Genomic DNA, 17,492 nt, shown 5'->3' on the forward strand with positions numbered 1-17,492 from the left:
TGCCAGCTAAAGACCAATTTTGCAAACAGGTCTTTCTAAGGATAGCAGTCAGACTTGCTATTTCATTCTTCTCTGCACAGGGCCCAGAGTCTCTGGCCTCCATCCTGACTGAGATCCCAGTTGGCAGCAGATAACAATGTGCTATCTGTGAGATGGAGCCACCTCTGAGTCAGACTCTCCATCCTTGGTCAAGCCTTGCTTCCTGACGCCACATGGAGCAGGGACAAGCTTTGCTCACTGAGCCCTGCCCAAATTATAGAATTGTGAGCAGAGTAAATGATAGTGATGATTTTAGGCTAAGTTTGGGGTTGTTTGCTATGCAGCAATAGATAGGGGGTTGTTTTCCAGATTCTAATCCTCTATGGATACTCTTCTAAAATTGATCATGATGGGAAGCTGGGATCAAGACAGTGCCTTTTATAAAGCCTATTTTTTCATTTTTCAAAGTAAAGGTGTGTCCCCGCCTCTCCTGACTCCTGCCAGGCTTCCTCGTCCTAGATCAGAGGTCAGAAAACTTTACTTGGAAAGGACCAGATAGTACATATTTTAGAATTTGTGGGCTACCTGCTCTCTCCTGTGTGTGTTGGGGATGCATGCATGCATGTTTTACAATCTTTTCAAAAATATGAAAACCTAGGCCGGGCGCAGTGGCTCACGCCTGTAATCCCAGCACTTTGGGAGGCCGAGGCGGGCGGATCACGAGGTCAGGAGATCGAGACCATCCTGGCTAACACAGTGAAACCCCGTCTCTACTAAAAATACAAAAAAATTAGCCAGGTATGGTGGCAGGTGCCTGTAGTCCCAGCTACTCGGGAGGCTGAGGTAGGAGAATGGCATGAACCCGGGAGGGGGAGCTTGCAGTGAGCTGAGATCACACCACTGCACTCCAGCCTGGGTGACAGAGTGAGACTCCGTCTCAAAAAAAAAAAAAAAGAAGATATAATTTTGAGATCATCCCTGAGTTTAGAGTATATGCCAAAGCAGGCCTTATCATGGTGGTGAATTGAGACCTAAGTATACACACAGGAAGGCCAGTCTAAGAACTCCTTACATGTGGTCAAGAAGTTGGTACTTTACCTCTCCCAACTCTGTTCTTTACTTAGTCTTTAAGTAGCTTTCCTTGAGCAAATACAAAATAATGATAATAAGAAAGCAGAATTTATTTGATCAATAAGAAGTAGTACTTCCTTTTAAAAAAAAAACAAACCAAAAATATGAAAACCATTCTTAACCTGAGGGCTGCATGAAAGCAAGCTAGGCAAGATTTGATCAGTACAAACTGGCCTTAGTTTGCCAACCCCTGTCCTATATAGTTAAAAAGACAGAAAACAACAACAACAACAAAAACCCCAAACCAGCAAACAAATAAAGCAAAACCTCCAGTGCAGCAACCAAAGGAGAATTTGAAATAATGATGTTAATAGTGAAATAGACAATGACTCAAATGTTTGGGTAACAGACCTTTTTGCAAGCCAGGTGGTTTCTAATTCTCTGCTTTCAACTGTATTAAAGGAGAATCTCATCAAGTTTTTAGCTGGTAGTATCAACATTTTAAAAATAATTTTGGATGTCAGATCACTGTGATTGTTGATTGAGAACTTGGAAGGCATTCAGAAAATTAAGTAAAATTGCAATTACAAGATTCATTTCTACTTATGTCAACAATATTCCTTGCTTGTGTCTATAAAAAATAAAAGTAGGAATAGAATTCATATAGAAACCTGTCTCATTCTAGTAATTAGAAATATTAACCAAAAAGCAAACAAACAAAAAAACACAACAAGAAGTATTTGGAAGAAAAACTAGTCCTATCTTATTAAGATATATTTTCAATAAAATTTTACTTTTTAAAATAATGATTTCACAAAATGTATATATACTTATGTTAGTTTTTCCAATGATCTACTACTACTAATTGTCATGATAACTTAATCCAGAGTAAAATTTTTAAACACTCAGAGCCTAATAGTCACAGGAGATTTAAATAAATTTCCATTTCAATTTCTATATATATTTGCAGCAGAGATATGTGAGAGAGCAATCGATAAAATTGTGAGTAAAATATCTTATATTAGCATAATATTTTGCTGGAGAAATCGAATAGAAATAAAAGTTCAAAAAGAAAAAAGAATATAAAATTTCCTATTGTCAAGAAGAGCTTATTTTAATTAATTAATTTATTTATTTTGAGACAGAGTCTCACTCTTATTGCCCAGGCTGGAGTGCAGTGGCGCAATCACGGCTCACTGCAACTTCTGCCTCCCAGGTTCAAGTGATTCTCCTGCCTCAGCCTCCTGAGTAGCTGGGATTACAGGCGTGCCCCACCATGCCGGGCTAGTTTTTGTATTTTTAGTAGAGACGAGGTTTCACCATGTTGGCCAGGCTGGTCTCAAACTCCTGACCTCAGGTGATCTACCCGCTTCGGCCTCCCAAAGTACTCAGATTACAGGCGTGAGCCACCGCGCCCAGCCAATTTTTGTATTATTAAAAATAAATCATGGTGGCTCTCAAATTCCTATGGTTTTAGATTCCACTGGATACATTCAAAGGAGTGATATGACATTTTTAAAATGTCGATATTTATGATATACCAGACAAGCATTTCTCAAAGTGTGGTCCCTGAGCCAGCAGCCTTGACATCACTTGGGAACTTTATAGAAATCCAGATTCTCAGGCCCTACCCAGACCCACTGAATCAGAAACTCTGAGAACTGGTGGGCTTTAACAAGTCCTCCAGGTGATTCTGATACATATTCAAGTTTGAAAACTACTGCATCAAAAATTACATATTTTGCAGCTATTTAAACTGATAATGAAAATATTTTTATGTTAATTTAAAATGTGTAAGGAGACATATTTTGGTCTCCTTACACATTTCTGGTCTTACAAGAAAATTATTTGAGGAATATACAAGCAAAAATATTTGAGCACCACTACACCATATCCTGCACCTTTTTACATCTTTAGACTAAAGAGAGGTTTTTTTCCCTTGGAGGAAAAAGTGGATGGGGACACACATTAAAGATGGTGTCACATGGAAACTGGATAGGACTTGGTATACAAATGAGAGAGAAGAGCACTGCAGGCAGAGAGAACAGTGTGAAAAAGGCTCAGAGGTGGGAAAGCGCAGGTGTGAGTGAGGGAATAGTCGGGCTGGGCTGGAGCAGGAGTGTGGGTAGAGAATAGCTGGTACTAAATTTGCAAAGACAAGATTGCAGCGATGATGCCAGAACTGTATTTGTAGCAGGAGAGAGATGTGGTCAGTGTTGTGCTTTGTTGGAGGTAGGCTGGAATGGCTCAGGTGGGAGAGACTGGAGGTAGTGAAACTAGATGCTAGAGCCATGCCCTGGAGCCCATCTTCACTCTTGGAGGGTCGCCACCACCTCTGTTAGCTGGAGTGGTCCTTGCCCACCATCACTGAAAAATGCAGGTAATGCCACCCATCCCAGGGAGACTGGCATACCCTAGGGACAGAGAGAGTCATGTTGCTGTTCTGAGGCAGCTATGGCCCATCTGTCGTTTTGGGCTTTCGCCTGTTGCCACGTCTTAAAGCCTTGCCATTCTCTAAATAGTGATCATGTTCACCTCCTGAGATCAATGAGATGACTGCAAAGTGCTAGGAGTTGCTCAGGCAGAAGGAATTCACAAACTCTTGGAGCACATTACTGTTATCTTTGTTTCTATTTAACCAAGGACACACCAGAGAGAAAAGGCATGACATCACCAAAGCAATCTCCCATTGGCTGTCCATTTCCCAAGGGGTGGGTTTTCTTTCCAGTTTTTTACTTCTCCTAAGTATTACATGCAGCACAGAGGCAAGTCCTGTCACTTCAGGGTTTCCAGATTCAGTGCCTCTGATGTCATTAGGTTATGGCAAGAGAGTGAGATAACACAACGATGTAAATTTTAGTTGACAGAATTGATGTACCTTAGAGTAAGATGCTCTGAGCTTCATGTTTACTCCTTTCAGGCTGATTTCAATGCTGCATTACTACATTAATTCATAATGCAGAATGCATGAGGGACAAGGATAATAAAATTATGACACTAGCTTTTCTACTTAGTATCCTATAAAATGCGATGCAAATGAATTGGTTCTGTCGGTGCATTTTATCACAAACCTTCAACATACAGTTCCTGCAAGGATTCCAGGTGCTTGTGAGTCTTGGTTGCCATCCTAGTTTTTAACATTTGCCTCATTTCTTGAAGGTTAATAACTGAACTGATTTATTTAAAATTCTTATACAATTATGTTGTAGAAAAGGAGGAAATCGTCACAACTGCTTTTCTCTAGACTTGAATTTGATGTTCCTTTTGGATGAGAAGCAGAGCTAAAAACGAATACCTCATTTTTTTGGCAGTTAAAAAGCAACATAATTCGAAAGTGGAGTTTCATTTAATCCATCAAACAATCCCAACCATTTGATGGAAAAAATGTAAATAATAAAATTTCAAAGGGATTTTATTTTAAAATAGCCACTGGGCATGTACAGTAATAAAATTTTTAATGGCCATTTTATTTTTCATTTCTGAGTTCATTTTTAGTGAAATTACTTGGTGATGAACAGAAGCAGAGTGATAGCCTGAGAGACAAAACTCATTGGTTTCTGAAATAATAAAAAGCATTATCCTCTGGCAATATAGAACATTTCTCTCAGCAGCCTCGCCCAATCTCCTGCACATTCCCTCAGGGCGGGTGGTGGGAGCATTACCTCACCTGCTGCCTCAGCCTGGTCTTCTAGATATGGGGTGAGGAAGCCTTGGGAGGCACCAACACTTTTCTGAGGACACACAGCCACTGAATCAAGTAAAACCAGAGCCTCCAGACTTTTGGGAAGAGCTCTGCACCATACATGGCTCTCCCTAGAGAGTTGTACGCCAAGCAACTTCACGTTTTTCAGTCATTGGAGATATGGAGGCTTCAGGGAAATGAGATCTCCTAAGGCCTCCTAGCATCACAACTTGCAAGGATCTGCCCCAGGATGTGTGTTTTTCTCACTCACACTAGTCTTCATGGAACACAGACCAAACTGCAATAATGTCCACAGGAACTCAATAAAATCGTGTTTTATGTATAGGCTCAGTGACATGTGCTTGCAATCCTTCGGGAGGCCAAGGCGGGAGGATCACTTGAGCCCAGGAGTTCAAGACCAGCCTGGGCAACATAGTGAGACCCTATCTCTAAAAAAATTTTTTTTTTGTAATAAAATAGTGTTTTGTGAAGGGCTTTTCTTTTTCCAGCCAGAGTTTGAATTGATATTTACATCTGAATGTGAAGAGCTAATATGGTATTGGGTTAAAAGCCCAGGCTTTGGAGTTCTACTGGGTTGGGCTTCTCAAGTCAACACTTATCAGCTGTGCGGTCTTGACGATGAAAATTCTCTGAACTTCAATTTACTTTCCTGCAAAATTGGGATAATAAATCTACTTCATAATCTTGGTGTGTGGATTAAATGAGAGAGAGTGTGTGTGTGTGTGTGTGTGTGTGATGTTTAGCACAGTGCCTGGCACATAGTAAATATTCAAAGAAATTAAATTGCTTCTTATTAACACTACTATTGTAAATTTGACCGATTATTGAAAAGCTCTGGATTGCTGAATCCTTTCCTTTCTGCAAAATAACCCAAATAGTGTGTATCTGAGGGAGTTGGGGGTAAAGAAAGAAATACTTCTGGTCTCCACTTAAAGAGTCCCTCTCTTTGCTTGGGTTCTTGGAGACTGGGTGAAGGCTGGAATAATCCCACTGGTGTCCCCAGCTCTGCTCTAAGCAAGCCATGGGTTTCCCTCAGGTGGAGAGCATGGAGGCCTGCAGAGGAACAGGAACAGAGGATCTCTTCCAAAAGGTTTTGACTGCTGCTTCTATTTCCCTACAATTTCTGTCTTTTGCTAGAATTGAAAATAGTCTACTGGGCTATCATTATAGACAGAACATTTTCAATCCTTAATACAATTTTTTCTTGCACAGTAGGATGGGTAGAATGAACAATAATGTATTGTATATTTCAAAATATCTACAAGAGAGGTTTTTGAATGTTCTCATAACATAGAAATGATAAAAGTTTAAAGTTATGGATATGCTAATTACCCTGATTTGGCCGCTACGTAATTTATGCATGTGTTGAAACATCATGTTGTACCCCATAAATATGTACAATGATTACATATCAATGAAAAATTTAAAAAAAGACAAAAGACTTTCTAAAAAAAGTATCCCAGCTGGAGACAGTGGAGACTCAGAGATTCTGGAAAGTAAAGTTAGGTGGTAGCCTCCTCCCATCAATCTATTCACAACTATTGATATATCTGAGAGGTAAGAAGCCTTCTGAGGAAGAGAGGAACCTGCTGTCAGTGAGGCAGACTCAAGTAGAACGGCTGCAAGAGGGCTGTTTCCAGAACTGCTTCCCACCCAGGCAGCACGACTTCATGCCTGGGGGAGAAAAAAAAGGGCTTTGTGCCTAAATTGAAAGAGCTTGTGACTAAGGCTTGTGACATCTGAGGCTCAAGAGACCTTTCGTTGTCAACCCTCCAACTGGGAGTAGCCAGGGAGTGTTCTTACTTCACAAGGGAGATGAGGCTTGTCTCCTAGGTGGAGTTTCAGAGTAGTCCCAGCTCCACAGGCGTCAGATGTGAGATACAGCCCTGTGGGCACCCAGGTGGACAAGTGACTCCAGGTGGGCAGAGAGGCCACTAGAGGCCATCAGCTTGGACAGGCTTCTCTGGGGTGGGGGCTGAGTCCCTTCTTGGCCAGGCATGCAAGTTTAGGGACACTATAAATACAGTACACACCCTGAGGATTCCCAAATACACTTAAGGGAGGGGGATTTTGAAGTCAAGCTGGTGGAGGCTGTGAGTCATAGAGATTTGGATATTAATATTGATGCAATTGCATTTGTGGTCACAGATGAGTGAAGCCTGAGATATTTTGGCTGCAGAGACACAAAAACAATTTCCACAAAACATATTTATTCTTCAGGATTTAGCACTCAGTTCTCTAATTTAACCATTCATTATCATTCACTAAAAACCTCCCAAACAGCTCAAGATTTAAGTTGTCTCTTCTGGATGTCCATTTGGTGGAAAACCCACCCAGTCATCTCATGCTGCTTCTCCCTCACTCAGTGACAAAGCCCTCTGTTTGGATGTTTAAGCTAGATTGATTGATTTGTCAGATGTTTGTTTTTTTGTAACAGGCTTTCAGGCAAGCCAGTGGAATTTGGGGAGTTTTTCACTTGTCAAATTGTTGTCTTGGTTCCTGAAGTGATTATACTATGCTCTGGTAATCATTTAAAACCTTTTAAAACAGTTTCCCTGATTGATTTTCCTCACACAGCCCCCGCTGCTGTTAAGGACAAGACTTTTACCGCAGGAACTAAAAATTAGGAAAATGGTGTGACTCCAGGCAACAGCAGCTCAGGACTCAGTCATAACAGTCTCTCCTGACCCCATGTGGGGCTGAAACATGTGCCTTTCTTTCCCTTCTGAGTTGTAGACATAGAACATGGAACCAAGGAAAAGCTATGCTGATAAAAATGGTAACGACACGCTTTGAAAATATGCTTCATTATAACATAAGGGTATTAGTGATGATTTTAAGCAGATGTCACTGCCTTTCCCACATCATAAGAGGGGAGTGACATGAAAAGTGCACAATCTTGTTACAGGAAACTGCATAGGAAATTTCAACTTTTACTTGAATGCCCAGTTCTGAAAATTTGCTACTGTGAGTTGATCACTCCTTTCTCCTTAAAGCAGTTCCCTCCCTTGCCTTCTAGGACCTCACACTCTGCTGTTTTGCCTCCTCTCTCCCCGGCTGCTCCTTCTCAGTCTCTTGGCTGGGTCCTCTGAATCCTGGTGTGCCCCAGGGCTCAGTCCCTGATGTTTTTCTCCTCTGTCCACACTCCTCCCCTGGTTGAGACCATGGGTCCGTGGCTTTAGATGCTGTCCACATCTGGGAACCTTCGTATTTCCATCTCCAACCCATACTTCTGTCCCAAGCTTCAGGCTTATTCACCCAGCTGCCCACTCATCAGCTCCACTGGATGTCAGACAAGCATCTCAACCCTGACATGTCCAGCACCGAGCTCCTGGACTTCTCTCCCAAACTGGCATTCTTCTCCATCTCAGTTAATGGCAAGTTCATCTTTACAGTTGCTCAGATTAAAATAAGAGTCACTGTAGTGAGTTGAATCATGGCTCACAAAAAGGTATGTCCACATCCTAACGCCAGGCCCTGAGAATGTGACCTGATTTGGAAAAAGGATCTTTTTTTTTTGAGACGGAGTCTCACTGTCACCCAGGCTGGAGTGCAATGGTGCGATCTCAGCTCACTGCAACCTCTGCCTCCCAGGTTCAAGCAATTCTCCTGCCTCAGCTTCCCAAGTAGCTGGGATTATAGGCAACTGCCACCACATCTGGCTAATTTTTGTATTTTTAGTAGAGACTGGGTTTTGCCATGTTGGCCATGGCTGGTCTTGAACTCCTGATCTCAGGTGACCCACTTGCCTTGGCCTCCCAAAGTGCTGGGATTTCAGGCATAAGCCACTGCTCCCAGCCTTTATTTTTAAATAATCCCAAATTTCAAGAGGGCCAATTGCACTTCTAGTGCCTGCAGTAAACAAAGTTAAACAAAACTGGTTTATCTTTTAAAACAACCAGAAGCATTTTTGTGTAAGCCAGAAAAAGGGTCTTTGCAGATTTAATGAAGTTAAGGATTTCATGGTGGAATCATCCTGGATTATCTGGGTGGGTCCTAAATCCAATGACAGTTGTCCTTACAAGGGACAGGTGACACAGAAAAGAGGAGAAGGCAGAGACTAGAGTCATGTAACCCCAAGCCAAGGAACGCCTGGATCCACCAGAAGCTGGAAGAGACAAGGAATAGAATATCCTCTACAGCAGGGGTCTGCAACCTCTGGGCTGCGATGGTACTGGTCCATGGCCTGTTGGGAACTGGGCCACACAGCAGGAGGTGAGCGGCCCCATGAGCATTGCCACCTGAGCTCCACCTCCTGTCAGAGCAGTGCCATTAGATTCTCATGGGAATGCAAACCCTATTGTGAACCACACACGTGAGGGATCTAGGTTGCGTGCTCTTATGAGAATCTAACTAATCCTTGATGATCTGAGGTGGAGCAGTTTCATCCCGAAACCATCCACACACACACCCACCACCCTGCTGCCTCTCTCCCCCGGCACTCCTGCCCCTGTCCGTGGAAACATGGTCTTCCACAAAACCGGCCCCGGAAGGATGAGGACTGCTGCTCTAGAGCCCCTGGAAGCAAGAACCCCTTAATCTCAGACTTCCTGGCCTTAGAACTGTGAGAGAATAAATTTCTGTTGTTTTAAGCCGCCAAGTTTGTGGTGATGTGTTACAGCAGCCCCAGGAAACCGATACGGTCATCTTTAATGTTTCTCTTATTTCTCTTTCTGTGGAGCCTTACCTCCAGTCTCTCAGTAAATCCTGTTGGCCCTATCTTCAAAATATACCCAGAATCTGCCCACATCTTACCACCTCCATAGCTACCTGCTTGGGCTGAGCTCTCAGCATCTCTTGCCTGGAGTATTGCAGTCCTACTAGTCTTCCTGATCCTGCCCTTGACACCCCCGCCTCCAACCCCTGGTGATCCTTTTAACATGGAAGTTGGATCATATCATTCCTCTAGTTACTGTCTCAGAGTATGAGTCAAACTCTTACAAATAATGGGGCCAGGCAGGGTGGCTCACGCCTGTAATCCCAGCACTTTTGAAGGCTGAGGTGGGCAGATCACTTGAGGTTAGGAGTTTGAGACCAGCCTGGCCAACATGGTGAAACGCTGTCTCTACTACTACTACTAATAATAATAATAAAACCTAGCTGGGCATGGTGGTGGGTGCCTGTAGTCCCAGTTACTCGGGAGGTATAGCAGAAGAATCACTGGAACCCAGGAGGCAGAAGTTGCAGTGAGCCGAGATTGTGCCACTGCACTCCAGCCTAGGTGACAGAGCGAGACTCCGTCTCAACCTTCATGATCTGGGCTGCTTCTGTGATGTTTCTAACCTCTTCTTAGACTGTCTCTCTGCTGCTGCTTACCTTTTCAGCCACAATGGCCCCTTTGCTTTTCCTTAAACACCCCATTCATGTTTCTGCCTCAGGGCCTTTGCACTGACTTTTTATTTTGTCTGAAACACTCTTCCTGCAGATACCTAAATAGCTAACTCCCTAATCTCATTCAAGTCTTACTCAAATACCATCCTCTCAGTGAGGTCTCCCCTGACCACCTTATTTAAAAATACAACCCTGAAACACTCTTCTTCTTCCTCCTTCTTTGCTTTATTTTTCTCCATAGCTCTTATTGCCATATAAATACCATATATCTTACTTGCTTATTTACTTATTGTTTTTCTCCACCTGCTAGAAGGTGAGATCCCTGTGACTAGGGAACTGGGGAGATCTTTTTCTGTTCACTGCTGTAACTCCAGCCTCTAGAACAATGCTTGGCATGTAGTACGTACTCAACTCAGTAAATATTTGTTTAATGAATAATTGAAGGTCAGACAGCCTCAATGCATGGTCTACAGAAATAAATGCAATAAGATGACGCATCCTATCTGCTGTCTCATGCTCCCTCTCATCTTCTGGAGACAAAGAAGAGGGAGAGATACGTGTGCCATCAGAAGCTGCACTTTAAAAAATTAATTAACAATTGTGGAAAAGTATACATAACATTAAATTTACCATCCTAACTTTTTTTTTTTTTTTTTTTTTGGAGACAGAGTCTATCTCTGTTGCCCAGGCTGGAGTGCAGTGACGTGATCTCGGCTCACTGTAACCTCTGCCTCCTGGGTTCAAGCGATTCTCGTGCCTCAGCCTCCTGTGTAGCTGGGATTACAGGCATGCGCCACCATGCGTGGCTAATTTTTTTGTATTTTTAGTAGAGATGGGTTTCACCATGTTGGCCAGGCTGGTCTTGAACTCCTGACATCAAGTGATCTGCCCACCTTGGCCTCCCAAAGTGTTGGGATTATAGGTGTGAGCCACCGCGCCTGGCCCATACTAACCATTTTTCAGTCTGCAACTCAGTAGTAAGTACATTCACATTGTTCAACTAATCTCCAGAACTTTTTCATCTAGCAAAACTGAAATACATCCATTACACACTAACTCCATTCCCTTTTTCCCCTAGCCCTTGGCAACCACCCTCCCTTCTACTTTCAGTTTCTATAAATGTGACTAGTCTAAGTACCGCATATAAATGGAATCATACAATATTTGTTGTTTTGTGACTGGCTTATTTCACTTAGCATCATGCCTTCAATGTTCATCCACGTAGCATGTATCAGAATTTCCTTCCTTTTTAAGTTGAAAGCTGTACTTTTGAGTGACACCTATTATTCCACCTGGGCTTCCCTGGAGTGATCCAGTTCCCTCATTACTTTCATGGCTGGTCCAGCACAGCACAGGTGACTAAACTTGACTTCAGGGGGAAGCAATGAGGTTGAAAACTTCGTGTCATGGGGTGTCCCACGAGCTCTGTTTCCTGTGGTGTCAGTTGGCTTTGCTGGCCATAATGAACTCGGGCCCGCTGCTTGGGCGTGCAGAGGGGACCTTGCAGGCTTCTAGGTTAGAGCAAACCTTTTCCCTGCCACACAGCCTTTCCGGTACCCACACAGTCTTTGGCATGATCTTTTGAAGGAGATTTGCCCCCGTTTCAGTGGGTGCAAGTCAACTCATCATTCCACGAGATGATTTTGATAAGCCTTGAGAATTCACTCCAATGTCAAGCAGTCTGTCAGACCAGAATTAAAGTCCTTTCATAATGAATCTGTCTCCAGGAGAAGTGATTGTTCTGGCTTAGGCAGAAGGAGAGAAATGGGGCAAAGAAGAGTAATTCTCATTGCTGATAGTCAGGTCCAGGGAAGGCTGTTTAGTAACTGAGGGAGAAGGATTATATATATATATAAACATTTTTTTGAGACACAGCCTCGCTCTGTCTCCCGGGCTGGAGTGCAGTGGCACAGTCTCAGCTCAAATCATTGCAACCTCTGCCTCCCAGGCTCAAGCGATTCTCATGCTTCAGCCTCTCGAGTAGTAGCTGGGATCACAGGCGTGTGCCACTATGCCCGGCTAATTTTTGTATTTTTAGTAGAGACGGAGTTTCACCATGTTGGCCAGGCTGGTCTGGAACTCCCGACCTCAGGTGATCAGCCCGCCTCGGCCTCTCAGAGTGCTAGGATTACAGGCATAAGCCACCACGCCAGCCCATATACATATTTATATATAATTTACATAAACATATATGCATATAAAAATTATATATTATATATAAATGTGATATATTGTATATAAGTTATATATGTATGCATTTATAATAAAATTTATAAATATATACATTTTAAGTATATATAAATGCATATATTTATAAATATATATGTATATAAGTATATATAAATACATGTATGTATATAAGTATATATAAATACATGTATATATATAAGTATATATAAATACATATATGCTTATGAATATATACATATAATAATTATATAACATAAATATGTACATATAATTATTATATGTATATATTTATCTATTATATGATATATTTTATATATCATATATTACATGTATGTATATGTTTATATATTTATTATATATGTACATATTATGTATATATAATTTTATATGTACTATATCTATATTTCTATGTGCCAGACACTATTCGAGGGTCTTTACAACACTGAGTCACTCAATTCTCACAGCAACTTTAAAAGATAGCTACTGTCTTTACCACCATTTTACAAATAAGGAATATGAGGTGCAGGGGCTTAAGTGACTTTCCTAAGGGCACGGAACTAGCAAATAGCAATGTTTGCTTTCAAACCTAGGCAGTCTAACTCTAGAAGCTATACTCAACTATTATACTCTATTCCCTCCCAAGTCTTTAAAATAATCACCTCACGTTCCCGCCCCATTCCAATATCTTTATTTCCTTAACCCATTTCTCTCTAGAAAAAATTTTAAAAGAAATCTGTAATATCTCACCAGCTGAAGATTCACCATGCACGCAGTTGCATTTTCCAGAAGCAGTTGCATCGTGAGGCCTGCATAACTCTGCCTCTTTGTAAGAAGCAGATTGGGGACATCAGTGTCTTGTGGGTAGGTACAGATATATAAATAGGAAAGTGAAACTCAGAATATACAAACAAAATAAGAGGGTGGTTGTTTACATTATATAAGGGATTCTTCAGTTTAGTAAGGAAACCAATGTTGAATTCCTGGAAATAGCAGCTTATTTATTTGACTAAGTGGTTGGGGTCAGAAAACCCTCAAACTGAAATATTTACAAACCCATTTGTCCCTTTGAAGCTCAAAGAAATTATGATAAATTATTGCTAAGAGGATTATGTTGTCCGTGAGGAAAGAAAATTGTGTTTACTGCCTCCTCTCAAATCGTCTTGAAATGACACATTGAGAAACACATCTTTGGTGTGAAGCCGAGCACACTTGTGCGTGCAGTTGCCATGTGGAACAGTCTGGATCACAACTCACTCACTCAGAATTAAAATCAGAAGACTGTGGAGCTGTCAGCATTTGCACGAGCTCAGGAGATAAAGCAAGTCTGTTTACGGACAGGCAGCCAGACCCATAACTTCTCATTTACAAACAGCACACACACAATCTTCTAACAACTTGCTTTTCAATCACAATAAAGGTTTAAAGGCATTGGAAAGCACTGTAAGCCTCCAGTGATTATAAGCAGCCACTTAATACAATGTTGGTTTTCAAAATAGTAATTAAATTTCATATTAAAAACATAGCTATTTGAGGAGAAAAGTATGGTAGCAAACGTAACCTGAAACGTTGTGTTTCATCAGAAAATCTTCATATTCAAAAGGAAACACTTGAATGGGCATCTGTAAGGTCTTTGGAGGTTATGTGCTTTATGAAACTTTTACAGACTGGTTAATCACACAATTCTAGCAGATTTCTTGTAACTGCACAGACAAAATTCAATTTCTCCATAATGAGAAAATTCTATACAGCAACAGGTAACTAGATTTGTGTCAGTTTTGACAGATGTAGAACAAGAGACCAAGAGACAAGTAATTTCTGTCACCAGAGGGCACCAAAGCTCAAGTTGCTAGGAAAACTGAAAACCACAGGGTCACAGTATCAGGGACTAGAAAACTCCCTGAAAGGTCATTCCTGTGGTCTGCAGACAAGACCTCACCTAATTATTTCAAAGGACTGAGAATGTCTCCTACAGGAAAGAACTTCCCTAGCTTGTTTTCATAGGCTAGTTGGTTATTTACTCTCCCAGCCAAGAGCTTCTCAATATCAGCTCATGAATTCATCCATCTCACATATATTTATTGAGCACCTACTATGTACCAAGCCCTGGGGAAGAAGTGGTGTGCAAGAAAGGCAAAGTCCCTGTCCTCATGACTTTAAAGTCTAGAGGTCGAGATTGACTTTAAACATCGAGTGTGGTGGGGATTATGGAAAGTACAGTACTGGGACCTTGGGAGCAGCTGGCAGGGGACCTAATCTTATCCATGAGGTCATGGAAGTATGTTGGCCTCCTGTGGCTTCTGTAACAAATTATCACAAACTGGAGGGCTAAAAACAACAAAAAGTTACTCTTTCACAGTTCTGGATGCCAGAAGTCTGAAGTAAGGTGTTGCACTCCCCTGGAAGGCCCTAGGAGAGAATCAGGTCCTTCCTTCTCCCTTATTGGGGGCAGCTCCAAGCATTCTCACCTTGCGGCTGCATCATGTCAATCTCTGCCTCTGTGGTCACATCACTGCCTCCTTTTCTCTGTGTGTCTCCTCCTCCGTGTGTCTACATGATAAGGATACATGGGATTGTATCTAGGACTTGTTGTGGACTGAATCGTGCCCCCCTCAAATCAAATCTGTTGAAGCCCTAACCCCTAGTGTGACTGTAGTTGGAGACAGGGCCTTAAAAGAGGTAAATGTGGTCAAAAGGGTGAGGCCTTAATCCAATAGGACTGGTGCCCTTATAAGAAGAGGAAGACACCAGAGACCTCCCTCTCCCCCTGCACAAGCACTGAGGAAAGACCATGTGAGGACACAGAGAAAAGGCAAGCCAGGAAGCAGGGCCTCACCTGAAACCAGTCCCGGCAACTCCCTGATGTTGGACCTCCAGACTGCAGAAACAAGAGGAAAAGCATTTCTGTTGTTTAAGCCACACTATCTGTGGTATTTTTTACAGCAGCTCGAGCAGACTGAGACAGGGCCCACCCAGACACTCCAGGAAAAGCTTTTCCTCTCAAGATCTTTAGTTTAATCACGTCTTTTACCATATCAGATGATAGTCACAGGTTCCAGGGATTAGGATGTGGAATAGCATTTTTGTTGTTGTTTTTTTTGTTTTTTGAGATAGAGTCTCACTCTGTCACCCAGGCTGGAGTGCAGTGGCTCGATCTCAGATCACTGCAACCTCCATCTCCCAGGTTCAAGCAATTCTCCTGCCTCAGCCTCCCGAGTAGCTGGGACTACAGGCACCCACTACCATGCCTGGCTAATTTTTGTATTTTAGTAGAGATAGGGTTTCACCATGTTGGCCAGGCTGGTCTCAAACTCTTGACATCAAGTGATCCACCCACTTCAGCCTCCCAAAGTGCTAGGATTACAGGTGTGAGCCACCCGGCCCGGATGTGGAATAGCTTTTGTGGAGGGGAGGAGTAAAAGGGCATCATTCCACCCAATACAGAGGGCTTCACGTGGAAGTGACATTTAAACTGAGATTTGAAGCCTGAGTAAGGGTTAGCCTAGTTGGGAAAGGAGAGGAGTACTGGAGGACTGCCCAGAGAGAGCGGGAAGCGCAACGAGGCCCTGGAGTGAGGTGTGGAGTGCAGCAGAGAGTGCAGAGGAGTGAGGCCGGTGCTTGGGTAAGGGGGCCAAATTGTGCAGAGCCCCAGGAGTCTTCTGAGCCCTCTTTGGGAGGCTGCCTTTTCCCTTAGGGGCCATGAGAAGTCTTAGAGGGTTTCAGATGAAGGGGAGGGAATGCAGGACACAATTGGATTAACATTTTATAGATTCAAAGCTGTGTGCAAGAGCCAGGCAGGAACCAGGGAGACCAGTTAGGAGGGTTTTGCTATACTAAAGCAAGGGCTGGTGGGGATTAGAAATAGCTAGCTAGATATCTAGAGCGGAGAACTGAAGACTTGATGATTGATTGGATCTGAGGAGTCAAGAGAGGGAGGCTTTAGGAGTAACTCCTAACTTCGTGGCTTGAGCAACAGGGTAAACAATGGCGTTATTACTAGGAGCAAGGGAACCTGCAGGGTGACTTGGGAGAAAGGAAGGGCTAAGGATGATTTTGTTGGAGACAGGATGAGTTGAGCGGTTTGAAGGAGCTGGCTCCAAGAACCGGTGTCCAGTGGTTAGTTAGCTACATGGAGCTCTGGAGAAAAGCCTACCCTAGGGAAAAAGGACTGAAGGTTGTCACACATCAGATTGTAAATGAAGCCTCGAGAGGAAACAAATGCAGCCAGTGAGAGCTGGAAGAGCGAGAAGAGAAAAGAACGCAGGACACAGCCCTAAGAAAAAACACGAAACACATTATTCCAGGGTGGAGGCGTCTAGGAGGGAGACTGAATATGAGACCTAGAGAGCACTTGGATTACAGAAAGGAAGAGAACAGGGAGTAGTCTGTAGCAACAAATGTTGCCTGGAGGTAAAACAGATACAAACCCAAGAGTGTTCACTGCATTGAGCTTTATCTGGGTCAGCGTGTGATTCTGGGTGCAGTGGAGAGATGAAGACCCAGCTGCCGTGGGACTTGGGAGGGCTGCAGAGGGAGAGAAGAGACGACTGTCCATGGAGAGGAAAAAGACAGTTTAGGATTTGGAGGGGGGTTTGACAAGGGGCTTTGATTTTACTTTCAAGATTGGGAAAAAACAAATGTGTTTAAATGCTCCCTAGTTCCTACCTTTCTGTAGAGAAACGTAGAGACTGAACATAATACGAGGAGCTAGTCTCCCCCTGAGCAGGGAGTTGAGGAGCGGTCCAGCGTCCAGGAGCTAGGACGGATGAGTGACTTCCTCTGTCGTAACGGAAGGGAAGGAAGAAGGCGGAAGCAGTGTAGAGATATGACGGCACGTGTTCCACTTCTTCTCTTCTGGGAGTATCTGTTTTCTTCTGATGGGGTGGGGTGATCTGCTGAGAGGGTGAGGTGGGGCTGACAGAATTGAAGGGTGGAGATTTGAAGCAGGAGATCAGGAGAGTTGACTCAAGAAACAAGGTGGGGCTGCAGGGGTCAAGGAGATGGTGTCTGGGAAGTAACTGAGTCGCCTGGTTGGAAGGGTAAGAAGTTTCAGTTTTCTGATTTCAGAAGAGGAGCGGATCTGGGACGACAAGATCAAGGTGTGTCCATTGGATGCCCCCCTTTTCTTTTTTTTTTTTTTTTCATTTTTCTTGCTGAACTCCCCTAGCTGGAACCTACAGTACCACGTTGAATAGAAGTGGCAAGAAGGGGGTAGTGCAGG

At 42.9% G+C, this 17,492-nt stretch overlaps 1 long non-coding RNA gene across 1 annotated transcript; it reads right to left on the reverse strand.

The window, feature by feature from the left end:
• Positions 1 to 6,946: 6,946 nt before the first annotated feature.
• Positions 6,947 to 17,042, reverse strand: LOC105377622 (uncharacterized). Its single transcript, NR_171655.1, has 6 exons — positions 16,937 to 17,042; positions 16,699 to 16,795; positions 15,108 to 15,149; positions 14,740 to 14,821; positions 13,022 to 13,096; positions 6,947 to 11,910 (listed from the first exon to the last, which is right to left on the reverse strand). It is a non-coding gene; the product is annotated as an uncharacterized LOC105377622 (long non-coding RNA).
• Between the last annotated feature and the right edge of the window lie 450 nt (positions 17,043 to 17,492).

Source organism: Homo sapiens, chromosome 4 (assembly GCF_000001405.40).
Source record: "Homo sapiens chromosome 4, GRCh38.p14 Primary Assembly".
Lineage (NCBI taxonomy): Eukaryota > Metazoa > Chordata > Mammalia > Primates > Hominidae > Homo > Homo sapiens.